Source organism: Homo sapiens, chromosome 2, assembly GCF_000001405.40.
Source record: "Homo sapiens chromosome 2, GRCh38.p14 Primary Assembly".
NCBI lineage: Eukaryota > Metazoa > Chordata > Mammalia > Primates > Hominidae > Homo > Homo sapiens.
Window position 1 is genome coordinate 1659229 of NC_000002.12, and position 15833 is coordinate 1675061.

Sequence of the window (15833 nt, forward strand, 5' to 3'; positions counted from 1 at the left end):
TGGATTAGGTGAGCTCATTGGCTATTTTGCATATTTGAGGTATGTATACATGGACAACTCAAATGGCTGAAAAGAATTTCAGCTAGGCAGAAACCTTACTTTTTGGTGTGTATCTCAGAGCCCAAATTTACTAATTTTTGGAATGCAATATTTTTATGCCAATAGGTAGATAAATGAGACATACAATTTTATATAATTTTATGACTCACATTTCATTCTTATTAATGGTTTAAGTTGAATTTGTATTTCTATAAGCAATGATCACAGAAAAATAATCCAAAAGCATTTCTTTATCTACCTTTTTATAAAAGGAAAAGGAATCCAACCATAATATTAATGATGGTATTTTTGGGGGATGGAATTACGGGTGGACGATTAAATTTCAGATGTAATTAATTCATGTTAAGGTAGCATTTTTCAAGCAAAAAACAAATATTAATTTTAAATAATCTACTGGTTTTTAAGTTTCATCAACTTAATTTTACACTTAATTTTACACTTAATTTTACATCAACTTTACATTTCACACTCTACATATAATGGGAAAATAAGGTCACTTAAGACTTTTCCTAAATAATTCTTAAAAGTCTTTGAGGAATTCCATTACGGTTCACATTTATGTCTGCCATGTTCATGGCACTGAGTGGGGGTCACTCTTCCTGTCTGTTAACAAGTCCCATGGAGAAGGCGGATCAGTCACAATGAGAGTGGAAAAGGCAAAAATAGAGTCACAGTGGAGGCCCGGGGGAAGGCCAGCGCCTGCGGGGAGTGGGGTGATGGCCAGAGGGTCCTTTACCCCGTGAAGGGGGGTTTGTGCGCGTTCTCAGAGTGTTGCTAACTCTAGGGGGACAGAGCAGGAGTGGGGAACACACCACTGATGAGGCGCAGGTTTGGGTCACACTGTGAAGACTCCATGCAAAGCTAAAGGGTGTGAGTGTCACCCTGGTGGCCACAGGAGACATGGAGAAGGGTCAGGGACACATCATGGGCATCATGGGGTCTGTGGGTTGAGAAAGAGGGGCCAGAGTGACCCGGGCCTCTGTTACAAGAACCCGGACAAGATGCCAAGGGCCTCGGGGTGAGTGGGATGGAAGTGGTGGCGGACCAGGATGCAAACAGACAGATGCAGGCATGGAGTCAGGACGGCTCTAGGACCACCGACTGGATCTATGTAAGGCTGCCTACGAGCACCTAGAGGTTCCCACTGAAAGATGCTTCCAGAGCATTCCTGGCCAAAGCCCGAGGAGAGAGAAACCGCAGCTAAGGAATCAGAATCTCTTCAAGCAACCATATTTGCCAAATTGTAACTGTAAATTACACCTGGTCATTTCTGGACAGATGTGGATGACCCCGGAGCAAAGCTCTGCCCAGTGGATGGGCTGCAGGGTAAGACATTGCCCAGTGGACAGGCTGCAGGACAAAGCTCTGCCCCGTGGATGGGCAGCAGGGCCTCCAGGTGCCTGTGTGGAGGGGAGGGGCTGTCGAGCAGCCCGGCCATGCATCAGGAGAGTGTCCCCACCTGGGAATCAAGGGTGCTTTGTCTTCTGAATAATTCTGAACAGCCTAAGTCAACTGGCCTGGGACCACACTAGGGACCTGCGGGCTTTCTTTGTGGATACCATGTGGGTAGATGTGGGCATGTGGCATCTTACCATTCACACTGAGCACCATGCTCACCGAGGCCGACCCAATGGTGTTCCGGGCCACACACTCATAGCGACCTGCGTCTGCAGGGCCAACGTCATTGATGGTCAAGAATCCTTCAGGGCTGATGTGAAATTTTCCACTTTCTGTCACCTGAACCCCATCCTGGAGCAAAACAGAATGAAAACAGTATTAGAAATAAGACTAAGAAGCAGAAGTTATCTGACCTAGGGTTGGGGGAGGGGAGCCATTTGTTAGGATTTGCAAATGGAGAAGCTCCCAGGCTGCGCTCAGATCCATCCAGGCCTGGAAAGCGAAGGAGATGTGGTCAGTTCTCCCAGTGCCAAGCTGGCGAGATAAACTCTTCCCACATCTCATTCTTTGGGAGAACAGAGCTTGACAGCTTGAGGCAAGGATGATTTTCCACAATGAGGAGAAGAGGCACCAATGATGGCTCCCTTAGACACCCGCTATGGTGGGGGGCCCTACAAAGAGACCTAGGAATGTCTCAGAAAGAGAGGGCACTGGCGCCGAGGGCAAAGAAGGATTCAGAGGCAGACGCAGAGGGACAGGTGACCTCCCAGCTGAGGCAGGAACAAGAGCAGATGCCTGGGGTGTGTGTGGCGAGGAAGAAAAGGACACAGAGATTCACAGGGCAGTGCAGGGATGCAGGTGGAGGATGGGACCATCTCCGCTGAGCACTCTCCTTCCATGGGGACCAGTGTGGCCAGCCCTGTGCTCCCGGGAGGGAATTCACAGAAACACGGGTCATGGTGTGTGAGTGCTACCCACATTTTCCTACTGAGCTTAATAAAAACAGCAAAGAAATGAAATAACGATGAAAACCCTTCCTTATTGATGATGAGACCATAGTTCTATAAGAGGGTTTTTCTTTGCTTTTGTTATTGAAAAGATCAAAAAAATGGAATGCTCCAAGTTTGTTTTGTTCTTATTAGTAAGGATGCCCTGAGTATTTTTACCTCAAGGCTTAAGATCTGAATGTTTTTCTTTCTGCTACAGAAAGTCTATAGAGGAAGTGGGCAGGCAGCAGCTGTCCAGCCCATCATACCCCACAGCAGAGGGGAGGCTGGGGCGTGGGCACTGGTCCGCCTACCTTGCTCCAGGTAGTGGGTGGTGTGGGTGCCAGCCCGTCTACCTTGTATCTGGGTGGTGGCTGGCTCGGGCACCAGACCGCCTACCTTGTTCCAGGTGATGGCTGGCTCGGGCTCGCCCTGGGAGCTGCACGGGAGCTGCACATTGGCGCCCACCTCCACTGTTGTGTCGCTGGGAATGCTGGCAAACACTGGGGTGACTGGAAGGCAGATGTAGAGAATCCAGGAGAACGAGTCAATTACATCAAAAAACTTCAGAAGAACAAAATCCCCTGCCCTCCATCAGGCCCACTCAGGGATGCTGGGAGCTCACAGTCAGTTTCAGAATGGGCCCTTTCTCTGCCTCCCAGCAGCCTCTGCACAGGGCAGGGGAGCCTGAAAGATCCCAGGGAAGATCCGCCCGCCTCCCCGCCTCTCAGGGCAAGGAGAGCAAAGCATAGCCAGTGTCTTCCCTGCTCAGAGACAGACAGCCGCAGGGTCCAGGATGGGCTGGCTGCCATGTCCTCCAGCCCCCAGTCCCTCACCGATGGTGGGGCAGTCTCAGGCATATGCTGTGCCGCAGGGCCCACAGAGGATAACAAGCTCTGGGGAGAGCCCGACTCTCGGAGAAGGAAACAGAGGGGAGCTTCCTCCTCTGAAAGAGCAGGAGCGTGGCTGAGTGCTGGGATCTGGGGAGCCGTTCAGGAATCCCACCCCCGCATTCTCTATACAGGCACCCAGCGTTCTGCTAGGTCAGGGACGCCAAGGGCAAACCCAAGAAACACAGAGCCAACCCGGCGGGCCGGTCATCAACAGCCTACTGACAACAGGCAGAGGGGAGCCCCTTCTAGAGGTCTGCACAGTCTCAGGACAGCCCCAAAGTGACGCAAGGAAATCCAGCCCTATCCTCCCCGCACGACATCTCTGCCCCACTCCCCATGGTCCCCATGACAAGCTCAGGGTCTGTGGCAACCTGGATTACTCAGCTCTGGGGGCCACTCATGCTAACACTGGAGTTAGCACAGGGCGCCTGCAACACGGGGGCTGGGCCAGGGGCCTTCGCTCTTGCAGAGGCCACAATCAGTGCTACGCTGATTCTATCGGGAGGGATATGAGGTTGTGGGGATTCTTCTCATTGGAGAGAACAGGCAAAGGCGACATCCAAAAAGAACAAGATGAAGACCAGGGTCCAAGGATGAGCGGGCAGACGGGAAAGAAACTGGATTTGGCCTCATGATACATCATCTGGGGTCTGTGCCTTGGGAGCTGACTTGATTAGACTGTGTTACTTAAATAACCACCCCAGAAAGGGCAGTTAGAAACAACCCTTTTCTAAAATAATCTTAATTAACCAAGGGAAAAAACCTGATAGATTTTACTTTAACAAGTCACTCTTATCCAAGTTCAAAACAACCATCACTGAAAAATAAGCAAATGTTTTCACCCGCTAAAGGGACAGAGATTGAATGAGCTACTATGCAGACACCCTGGGGGCACAAGCACAATGACGGTGCACAAAATGCAGAGAGAACAGCCAACGCTTTATAACGAAGAGTAACACTAATGTCAGCTGCGGAATTCTGTGTTTCCTGATAACCGATCTGAGAAAATCAATTCAGTCCACAACCTCCTGGCACCTACCTCTGGGCTGCACAGTCAGGTGGGCCACGACCTTCTGGGAGCCGATGATGTTGACAGCCTGGCATTCGTACTGGCCCTGGTCGTGGAGGGCAACACCAGAGATTCTAAGTGTTCCCGATGACAGGACCAGGTGCCGCCGGTCCACGGAGAGCTGGCTCCCTGCAAGGGCATGGGCCCGTTACACTGGACACTCGGACGCATGGAGAACTCCTGCTCTCAGACTGACAGCATGACCACAGAAGCTTGTCTCCACCTGGGTCGGGGCGCCGGATAATTTGGCCTGGCCCTGCATAAGCAAATCTTTGCCTCCCCAGCAGACACCATGGTGACACCTGAACGTCCCTGCACCCGTAACTCAGACAGAGGGGTTGACAGTGGCAGAGAACAGAGGGAAAAGCACTACACAGGGGGCCAGGAGGACATGGGGACTCGGGGAGTCAGAGCGGGGTGGATGGCCAGCTGGGAGAACCAGGGAGAGGATTGAGTGCTGGAGATGACGAAGAGCCAAGCGAGGCCCCAGCAAGTTCCTTTCCGGGATAAACCTCTCCTGTTCTTGCCCATAACTGCCTGAGAAAAGGGAAATCCAGGGCGTGTGATGCAGGCACAAGCCTCCTCCCCAAAGACTTTCAGGAGCCCTGGGTGGGGCCCCTCAGAGGGCTGAAGGGATGGGCTGGCCATTTGGTGCAAGCTGGAGTGGCCAGGATGTCTCAGGGTCACTGCTTGCATCCCAGGACAGGAACCAGGAGGTCTGCGTAGCTCCTTCTCCAGCAGTTTCAGCTCCTGCCCTCACCCCAACCCCCATCCAGGCTGTGCCTTTATGCAGTAACATGCCCAGCGACTTTCCCATTGAAGAAAGAGGGCTAGGACTGTAGGCAAAGAATGTGATGAAAGGTCATGATGCCGAATGGGGAGGTGACAGTGAGGGCTCTGGGAAGCAAAGTCAGAGCAAAAGCTATTCGTCTGTTTCAATATATTCCTCGACTGTTTCCAGAAAATTCTATCCTCCATGCAAATAGATTCCTTCAAGAGGCTACTTAAAAGCACATCCTAGAGACTATCTGAAACAAGGCAGGTGTGAGGGAGTCAAAGGCAGGAACCCCAAGTCTCTTCCGCAATGACAGAGCTTCTCAGAGTTTCCTGCCATGATGTCCATGAGGGACGGCCATGCATGGACAGGAAGCCGCGGGGGATGTGCAGACACCTCTGCGCTTCCCAGTGCCTTGGTCCTGTGGAATCCAGTCCCAGCTCAGCCCTGTCCAGAACACGCTGGGGTTGCCTGGGCACAGTGGAAATGTGTGCTTCCTGCGTCTGTGGCCGCGGAGGGAGCAGGCAAAGGGCCGGCCTGGGTCTTACCTCCCTTGGTCCAGGCGATGACGGGCGGCGGGTTGCCCTTGGCTTCACACTGGAAATCCACGGTCTGGCCCTCAATAACGACTCTGTCCTGAGGCGTCACAGTGAACTGAGGAAGAGCTTCCGGAGAGAAAGCATTCAAAACAGGACATGTAAAAAACAGCCTGGGGTAAAAACGCGACCAAGAAAATGACCACAGTCTTGGCAGACGTCTGACCATTAGGAGCAATGTCTACAACGAAGAGTCAGAAAGAGGCAGAGGGCACAGGAGAAGATGGGAGCAGAACGGAAAGAAGATGAAGGATGGGTGTGTTCTCAGCATCACCCTGGAAAGCACACAAAGACCGTTCAACCACACCGCCAGCTGCAATGCACACGGGGCACGGATGAGGACACACTGCAGCTCGTGGACACCAGGCCGACTTACAACGATTCCTCTCAATCCTCACCCTAAACTAATATTTGCAAATGCTTAAAAAATGCCATCTGGTATAGCTGTGTATGATGATAGTGGTTATTATCACTGGATGAAAAACATAACTTACAGAATAGTATTGTCTGGTATGATTCCATTTTTATAAAAGTAACAGCCACAAAAAAAGTAAATCCATGTAACGCAGTTGCACTGCTGTGCGTGCAGATTCTCGACAGATTGCCAGTGAGACAGGAAAGGGCTGAAGAGAGGCCAGCAGAAGGAAATGATTGCTCTATCTCTAATATCATCTCTAATAATTTATCTTTTGCACTTCCGTATTGTTTGAATGTTTTCCAACAAAGTCCCACTTCACAAGAATAACTCATTTTACAGTCAATTAAGCAATGTAGAAATCCATGGCAGATGGCGTAAAACGATGAATACTCCCAGATTACATCCAAAACTGACCTTAGGGAAGGATTCAAAGCTGTCTGCAAGGTGTATCAACCACCTTACTGCACATGTGCATGCATGTGTGCACACCCACACACACACACTCTCTCTCTCACTTATCTGATAGACACTCCTGCTGGCCAGGTGCTGGAGGTACAGAGACACGACAGCCAGCACACAGAGCCCATACTACAGAGCCTTCTGTTCCAAAAATCTACAAACTGCAGTCGTCTGTATTTAGTCCAAGGGGGGTGTAATGGATAAAAATCAACCGAGTGAAGTGGACAGGGCAGAAGATTCTATGGAGCGTCTGTGGGTATGGCAGCGCGAGCTAGTGGAGGGGTGAGGATGGGGCTGAGCCCTGGCTCTGGCACAGAGGATGGATACCCACCCTGGACGATGATGAAAGCGGTGGCATGGACGCTGTCAATGTTGTTGGTCGCAGAGCACGCATACTCTCCGCTGTCCCCCTGTACGACGTTCTGTATGTAAAGCCCGCCAGAAGGCGTGATGTTCACCCGCGGGTCAACTGGCAAGGGTGTGCGGTCACCTCTCGTCCAGGAGATCCGCGGCGGGGGGTGGCCTGTGGCGCTGCACTCCAGCGTGACGCTCTCCCCAACCAGCACCTCTGTATTCTGTGGCTGGATTACAAAAGTGGGTCGAGCTGTCACAATTAAACAGAAATTCTCAATTAATTTCTCCCGGTTTGACATGGTTTTTGCTTGATTTTTCCTATGTCAGGCTATTAATTCTATTTACCACCGAAATAGGCAAAACAAACACAACGTAACTGCATATTTTCTTTTTAAAGAAATGTGCAGACAATAAAAATGGTTCACAGCCTCGGGTCAAACAAAATGCAGGCCACGTGAGAAAAGTGAGCAACCATGATCGGTTAGGAAGAGCTAATTAGGAAGCGCTTTTTCTTAAAACATGTGCCGAACTCCATGGAGGTTTCTTATTTCTAAATAAAATACATTATGTCAATCTTGTTAGACCTTGCTAGTAGTTCTTATTGGCACAAATTATTGTTAGGGAAGTATATTTAGAGTATACAAAATATCAAATTTACTCACAAAAAATGCAAATTAAAAGTAAGCAAGAAATAATATTTTTCAAATTTAAATCCAGAAAAAAGTCCATACAATTATGAATGTGTTTCATGTGTGAGTTTGTGTGGAAACAGAACTCTCCCATGCTGGCAGTGGGAGCACACCCTGGCCCAGCCCACCTGCAGGGACGTGGCCGTGCATACTGACACTGAAGATGTGCACACTCTATTGCCCAGAAATGACCCTGCCAAACAAAAGCCAGCAGAAGACAAGAAATAACTAAGATTAGAGCATAACTGAAGGAGACAGAGACACGAAAAACCCTTCAAACAAAAATGAATCCAGGAGCTGGATTAATTTGAAAAGATTAACAAAATACATATTTTGTTAATCGGTTTGACAAATGGATTAGATAGACTGCTAGCCAGACTAATAAAGAAAGAGAGAAGAATCAAATAGGATAAAAAATGATAAAGGGGATATCACCCCTGATCCCAAAGAAATACAAACTACCATCAAAGAATACTACAAACACTTCTACACAAATGAACTAGAAAATCTGGAAGAAAGCGGTAAATTCCTGGACATATACACCCTCCTAAGAGGGTATTCAAATAGGAAGAGAGGAAGTCAAATTGTCTCTGTTTGCAGACGACATGATTGCATATTTAGAAAACTCCAACATCTCAGCCCCAAAACTCCTTAAGCTTATAAACAACTTCAGCAGAGTCTCAGGGCACAAAATCAATGTGCAAAAATCACAAGCATTCCTATATACCAATAATAGACAAGCAGAGAGCCAAATCATGAGTGAACTCCCATTCATGATTGCTACAAAGAAAATAAAATACCTAGGAATACAACTTACACAGGACTTGAAGGACCTCTTTAAGGAGAACTACAAACCACTGCTCAAGGAAATCAGAGAGGATACAAACAAATGGAAAAACATTCCGTGCTCATGGACAGGAAGAATCAATATTGTGAAAATGGCCATACTGCCCAAAGTAATTTATAGATTCAATGCTACTCCCATCAAGCTACCATTGACTTTCTTCACAGAGCTAGAAAAAACTACTTTAAATTTCATATGGACCAAAAAGCAGCCCGTATAGCCAAGACAATCTTAAGCAAAAAGAACAAAGCCGGAGGCATCACACTACCTAACTTCAAACTATACTACAAGGCTACAGGAACCAAAACAACACGATAGTGCTACCGAAACAGAGATATAGACAATAGAACAGAACAGAGCCCTCAGAAATAACACCACCCATCTACAACCATCTGATCTTTGACAAACCTGACAAAAACAAGCAATGGGGAAAGGATTCCCTATTTAATACATGGTGCTGGGAAAACTGGCTAGCCATATGTAGAAAGCTGAAACTGGATCCCTTCCTTACACCTTATACAAAAATTAACTCAAAGATGGATTAAAGACTTAAACATAAAACCTGAAACCATAAAAACCCTAGAAGAAAACCTAGGCAATAACATTCAGGACACAGGCATGGGCAAAGACTTTGTGACTAAAACACCAAAAGCAATTGCAACAAAAGCCAAAAGTGACAAATGGAATCTAATTACACTAAAGAGCTTCTGCACAAGAAAAGAAACTATCGTCAGAGTGAACAGGCAACCTATAGAATGGGAGAAAATTTTTGCAATCTCTCCATCTGACAAAGGTCTAATATCCAGAATCTACAAGGAACTTAAACAAATTTACAAAAAAAAAAAACAACCCCATCTAAAAGTGGGTTAAGGATATGAACAGACACTTCTCAAAAGAAATTTATGTGGCCAACAAACATATGAAAAAAAAGCTCATCATCACTGGTCATTAGAGAAATGGAAATCAAAACCACAATGAGATACCATCTCATGCCAGTTAGAATGGCGATCATTAAAAAGTCTGGAAACAACAGATGCTGGCGAGGATGCAGAGAAATAGGAACATTTTTACGCTGTTGCTGGGATTGTAAATTGGTTCAACCATTGTGGAAGACAATGTGGCGATTCCTCAAGGATCTAGAACCAGAAATATAATTTGACCCAGCAATCCCATTATTGGGTATATACCCAAAGGATTATAAGTCATACTACTATAAAGACACATGCACACGTTATGTTTATTGCAGCACTACTCACAATAGCAAAGACTTGGAACCAACCCAAATGCCCATCAATGATAGACTGGATAAAGAAAACGTAGCACATACACACCATGGAATACTATGCAGCCATAAAAAAGAATGAGTTCATGTCCTTTGCAGGAACATGGAAAAAGCTGGAAACCATCATCCTCAGCAAACTAACACAGGGACAGAAAACCAAACACCGCATGTTCTCATTCATAAGTGGGAGTTGAACAGTGAGAACCCATGGACACAGGGAGTGGAACATCAAACACCAGGGCCTGTCGGGGGGTTGGGGGAAAGGGGACAGAGAGCATTAGGACAAATATCCAATGCCTGTCGGGCTTAAAACCTAGATGACAGGTTGATAGGTGGCAGCAAACTACCATGGCACATGTATACCTATGTAACATACGTGCACATTCAGCACATATATCCCAGAACTTAAAGTAAAATTTAAAAATATATATATTCTGCTAGAAACTTAATCCATAGATATTTTTACAAGCACATAAAATGTCATATGTCCAAATAAATTTTTGTTTGGGTCAGACGTGGTGGCTCATGCCTGTAATCCCAGCACTTTGAGAGGCTGAGGTGGGCAATCGCCTGATGTCAGGAATTCGAGACCAGCCTGGCCAACATGGCGAAACCCTGCCTCTACTAAAAATACAAAAATTAGCCAGTATGGTGGTGCACACCTGTAGTCCCAGCTACTCGGCAGGTTGAGGCAGGAGAATCACTTGAACCAGGGAGTCAGAGGTTGCAGTGAGCTGAGATCTTACCACTGCACTCCAGCCTGGGCAACAGCGAGACTCTGTCTAAATAAATAAATAAATAAATAATTTTTGTTTGTTTTCCTTTTGCCCTGTTGTTTCTTCAGGTCAACCATCCTTATCTGCCATGCTAAAATTCAGAAAGCTCCAAAAATCATTATTTTTTCATAACTTATTTGTTTGCAAAACTGGATCTAGCTAGCATAAGACTACCTATAGTCTTTATGCTACTTTCTGTGAATATCCATACAGTTTGCTATAGGATATTAATACATTGATTACAGGGCTCTGCTGACAGTCTAAACTGGTATGTGGATTTTACACTATGCTACCCTTCTGAAAATTTCCCCAAGTTTCTGGATATCAAAAGACATCTGGCCCAAAGGCTTTTGAATAAATAACACACAACTGTGATAGCTAAAGATTTGGAAAAAAATCTAAACTCACTCCAAAAGAGAACTTGTTAAATAAATTATGGTGCATTTAGATCATGGAATTCTATGCAGCTATACAAAGAAAGAGAGTAAGAAACCTCATGTATTAAAAGTGAAAGACTAGAAAGATTTCTAAGATATCATCTAAGAAAAATCACTTGCCTCAAATATGCTTACATTTTTTTGTATATAGATAGGAAAGAAACTACTAAGCATTTTGGGAAGAGGGGAAGGGAATAGGAGTTGAGCGGATGACGAAAAGAGCCAGGAGGAAGACTTTCTACCTTTTTTATATATGTTAATATGTAAGCTGTGTTAATCAAATATTTAAGTATAAATTATAAAAAATACAGAAATGACATTTAATATTAGTATTTCTATCAGAATAACAAACTGGAAACCATGAAGCTACTCACAGAAGTACGAACACCAAAGTCAAAGTCGGCCTTGAGGGCATCTGCAGACCCTTATAACTTAAATTTAGCCTTAAGAGCCTCATGTGATACAGAAGACAAGACACAGATCAACACAGGCCCATGAAGAGAAGTCCACCAGAAAACTGAACAGCAGCTGCATCCCCACAGTGCTGTGCCCTCGGCATGAGAAAGAACTAACTTCAAAACCTGCCTGCCCCACCCAGGGAACAGTGCCCAGTAGAAGAGAGAAATAAATCTCATTTAAGTGTTGTTCACCAAAATCCGGTCCTCACGTGAACTTGCTGCCCAACTCCCCCCACATCAGGCAGAAGGAAGGTGATCCCCGACAGAAGAGCTGAGATAAACAAAGGAAGGACAAAGGAAGTGGGAACCACATGGATGCATCCAGACAAACACTGGGAGAACAAAATAATAATGTTTATAGGTTTAAAAAAAAAACAGAACCAAGCACATCAACTCAGAGGGATGAACGCACGTTAGAGGGGAAGGTTATACTAACTTTAGGCTTTGGCAATTTAAGAATGCATTTAAAATTTTCTAGGCTAACCATTAAAAGAACAGAAATGGGCACATAGTGTCCAAACAAGTAGTGGGGAGCAAATATGAAAAATAATTATTTCCAACTAAAGCAAGAAACATAGAAAAGTTTGGACAAACAGTTCAGAATAAGAGCTAGAATTTATAAATCTCATATTGTTAACTACAATAAACATATTTAAATGGATTAACTTTAAGAAAAACTTAGGATTTTTTTTTTAAATTTCTAGCTCTATGTTATTTATATTAAACATCTCAAATATATGCACATGGAAAGGCTCGGAGAAAAATGGTGGGAAAAGACACACCTGCCAATACGAATCAAGTAGAAGCTGCTGTATTTATCTTACAACAAATTTACCTTGAAGCAAAAAGCACTGATAGAGATAGAAGTGTTACTGATCAAAAATGTAATTCATCAGAAAGATAAAAATTGCAAACTTTTTATATGCTCCTAATCACAGAGCTTCAGGATACTGGGTGCGATATGCCCCTTTGTGTCTCACAGAGACCTACACGTCACTCTATTCCTATTACTATATATTATTACCATAGTCCGTGACAGCAGTTGGCCATTTTTTTCTGTAAAGGGCCAGATTGGTCCTGTTTTAAGTTTTGAAGGCCACACAGGTTTTGTTGCTACTACTCAACTCTGCCATGGTAGCATACAAGCAGCCATAGACATTGTGCAGAAGAATGGGTGTGGTCATGCTCCAAGAAAACTTAATCATAGACAATGACGCCTGAATTTCCTCTAGCTGTCATGTGGTCATAAGATATTGTTCTTCTTTTAAAAGTTTTGATCATTTAAAATTGTAGAAAAGTATTCTCAGTTCATAGACCTTAGGAAAAACAGGCAGTAGGCAGGTGTGGACTGCAGGCTGCAGTGTGTCAGCCTAGGCTTCTGGGCTTCTCAGGGCTGGTTCCCCCATGCTGCAGTGACTCCCTGTGCACCGGATGGCGGGAGACTCTTCATGTGTATCTGAGGGAGCTACACCCACATGCTCAGACTAGTATACTAAATAGGGCTGCTGTTCCTGAGAAAGACACAACAATTCAGATCAAAAGGAGTGAAATTTGGAACTCTCAAGCCATAAAGAGCTGGCTAAATATTCCTGTCTAGGAATCAATCAACCTATGAACATAGTAACTCTCCTAAGTAGTTCATTACTCATAATCCATAGTTATTCTCCTTTGTCTATAACATATACTTAACAGTACTACATAACTTTTTCTCCCTATTTTGTGGATTTTTTAATTCCTTAAAAATACAGCCCATGCTCCTTCTATGAGCAGCGGCTGTGTCTTAACTTCTCTGCACAGGCCCACAGCATTCTGAATTTGGAAAGATGCTAAATGTCTTGTGCTAAACATGTGGAACGTTGTTTGATTAAGGGCTTTGATTCAGCAGTACTATATCCTTGGGCTTTCCTTTGAATGGAAATGTGATAGCCAGGAATTCTCAGTCACTGATAACTGTTGATTGTGTCTATGCTGGGATGTACTAGGTGCTGCAGAGACCAGGCCAATTAAGGAGCTGGGATTTAAACAAGAAACACCAAAACCACTTACATTGCCAAACAAAAGGTTTTATAACCATAATGGCCTGAAATACAAAATACCAGGGAAGCAGCAACCCTGGCATGATTTGTGGCTGAAGCTAAAGGCAGCCAGAAGGTTTCAGAGAGGAAGTTACACCTGCAGCCTCCCTGGGTAAGGGCTCCGACTCTACCGGCTTCTGCACAGGACGACAGGCAGACCCGTCCAGAGGCATGAACTGATCTGTATCATTTCCCAGAGCCATGGTGGGTACACCCAATGCCTCAATCCGCTGTTCTTCAAGGGCCCAGCTCCTCTTCTGAGCAATGGCCATGGATAACACAGGTGGATCAGAGCAGAGTTTGCAACCTGATGGGGCCCAGATGGATGAGAGGCCACAGCTGGACTTGATGCGGCTGAGACAGTTTTTAAATGTTTTAAATTTAGGTGCCATTATCTTAAACATGAAAATATTGGATAAAAATCTAGATTTGTGGTTTCTTTTACATAATCCAAGCCCTTAGCAAAATAGAGACCTCGTTACCACATGGCAACAGCTGGCTGTGGCTGAGTAGCTGTCCCTTCAGATGGCGCCTGGGGGGTGGGGTCGGTGGGTCAGGGTGTGGCAAGGCCCTCTCTCAATGGGCTGGGCTCACAGCATGGACTGCCCCGGCTGTGTGGACTATGAGTGTGTCCCCAGATGAGGGGCTAACTGGGGACCACAGCACCGCTCATGGATCATCTACGACCCTGCGCTTAGAAAGCTTTCTGAGCCAACCCTGGTACTGGAGCTTCAACTTCAGACTTCAATGTTCATTCTTATTTTGGGGTGCAAGGAAAGGAGAAGGCAGATAGTGAGGGACGACAATTCTGGATGGAACCCCGGTGTGAAATGCCCGCCACATACCTGGAGACCCGAAGTACCTGAGGGTCACCTCTTGCGTCTTCACCTCTCCGGCCACGTTCTTTGCCATGCACTGGTAGATACCCTGGTCTGTCTCCTGTGTGTTCTGGATCATCAGGGTCCCATCGTCCAGCAAGTTTAGGCGGGAATCTGTCTTCATGCTCAGCTCATTACTACAAAGACAGAAATATGGTCTGGTCAAGTGTTGAAAGCACAAAGACGTACCTCACCCATCCCCAGCACAGGGGTTTCCAGCCCTGCAGCAGGCACAACTTGTGCGAGGAACAGCTCACCTTCCAGGGTCTCCTCCTTCCTGGCAGCCCTGACCTAACAGGCAATTCTGAAAAGGGGACCGTGTATTTGCACATCTCATTCACTCAGGTACTTATCCTTAGTATTCACGTGTTCAATCTATCTACATGTTTTAAAGTGTTTCTAATTCCAAAGGAGAAAGCAATGAACAAAACGGAAAAAATTCCAAGGAAACATTTTCTTTCGTTTCTGGTGAATTAACTAAAAAGGGTAGAAACATTTTTACATTACTAAAAGCCAGAGCTGTATCTATGTGTATTTTATTTTTTTATTTTAGAGACAGAGTCTCACTCTGCAGCCCAGGCTGGAGCGCAGCGGTATAACCATTGCTCACTGCAGCCTCAGCTTCCTGGGCTTAAGCGCTCCTCCTGCCTCGGGCTCCGAAAGTGCTGGGATTGCAGGTGTGCGCCAGACCTCTCTATCTGTATTTTAACAAACAGTGCCTGCAAGCTGCTGGTTGGCCTCCCTCTGGGATCTGGGAGGAACCTGTGGCACTGCACCACGAAGAGGCCAGGACACAGGTGACCCCACCTTTGCATGGCTTGGCCAGTCCTCGGGCAGCAAGGACCTCCCCTGGGGCCATGCTGCATCACACACACTTCGGGCAGCCAAGAAAAGCTGCAACCTTTACCCCAACGCTCAGTCCTGCCGCCTCTCACCCTCACCCCACCTGTAACTTCACTTTAGTTCCCTTTATGCAGAAGCAGGTGAAGAGGAGAGAGGTGACATTGGATGCCACTGAGATCCCAGTCTATGGCAAGTGTGAGGACAGAGTAAGAACAGCCAGGCACGGAGCCCTCTGAGAATGCAGACGGGCCTACAGAGAACTCCTACTTGCAGATCACCAAGACAGACAAGACCTCTGTGAAACAGAAACCCACTTCCTCAGTGCACGAGATTCATCACCTTCCACGCGAGTTTCCTAAGGAGCCTGTGCAGCCTGGACCAAGCTGGGTCGCTCATGCAGGAGGAGCAGCACCAGCACTGTGCAAAAGCACTTCCCCATGACCGCCCTCAGAAACCTGCCAGCGCGCAGCCAAACCGTCGGGAACACTCGAAAGACCAACGCCCACCTTCTCCCAAATCTTCCTCATGCTCTCCTCGCCTGGC

The 15833-nt window shown here is 46.2% G+C and overlaps 1 protein-coding gene across 5 annotated transcripts in view; it reads right to left on the reverse strand.

The window, feature by feature from the left end:
- The window catches only part of PXDN (peroxidasin), a 113015-nt gene that overhangs the window by 27342 nt on the left and 69840 nt on the right, over positions 1-15833 (reverse strand). For all 5 annotated transcript variants that reach the window (XM_011510396.2, XM_047445789.1, XM_005264707.4 and 2 more), the window contains 6 exons: positions 14415-14584; positions 6986-7258; positions 5730-5846; positions 4377-4535; positions 2844-2956; positions 1653-1809 (listed from right to left, as the gene is read on the reverse strand). In XM_011510396.2, coding sequence (XP_011508698.1) covers positions 1653-1809; positions 2844-2956; positions 4377-4535; positions 5730-5846; positions 6986-7258; positions 14415-14584 — 989 coding nt within the window. The remainder of the gene's footprint in view (positions 1-1652; positions 1810-2843; positions 2957-4376; positions 4536-5729; positions 5847-6985; positions 7259-14414; positions 14585-15833) is intronic.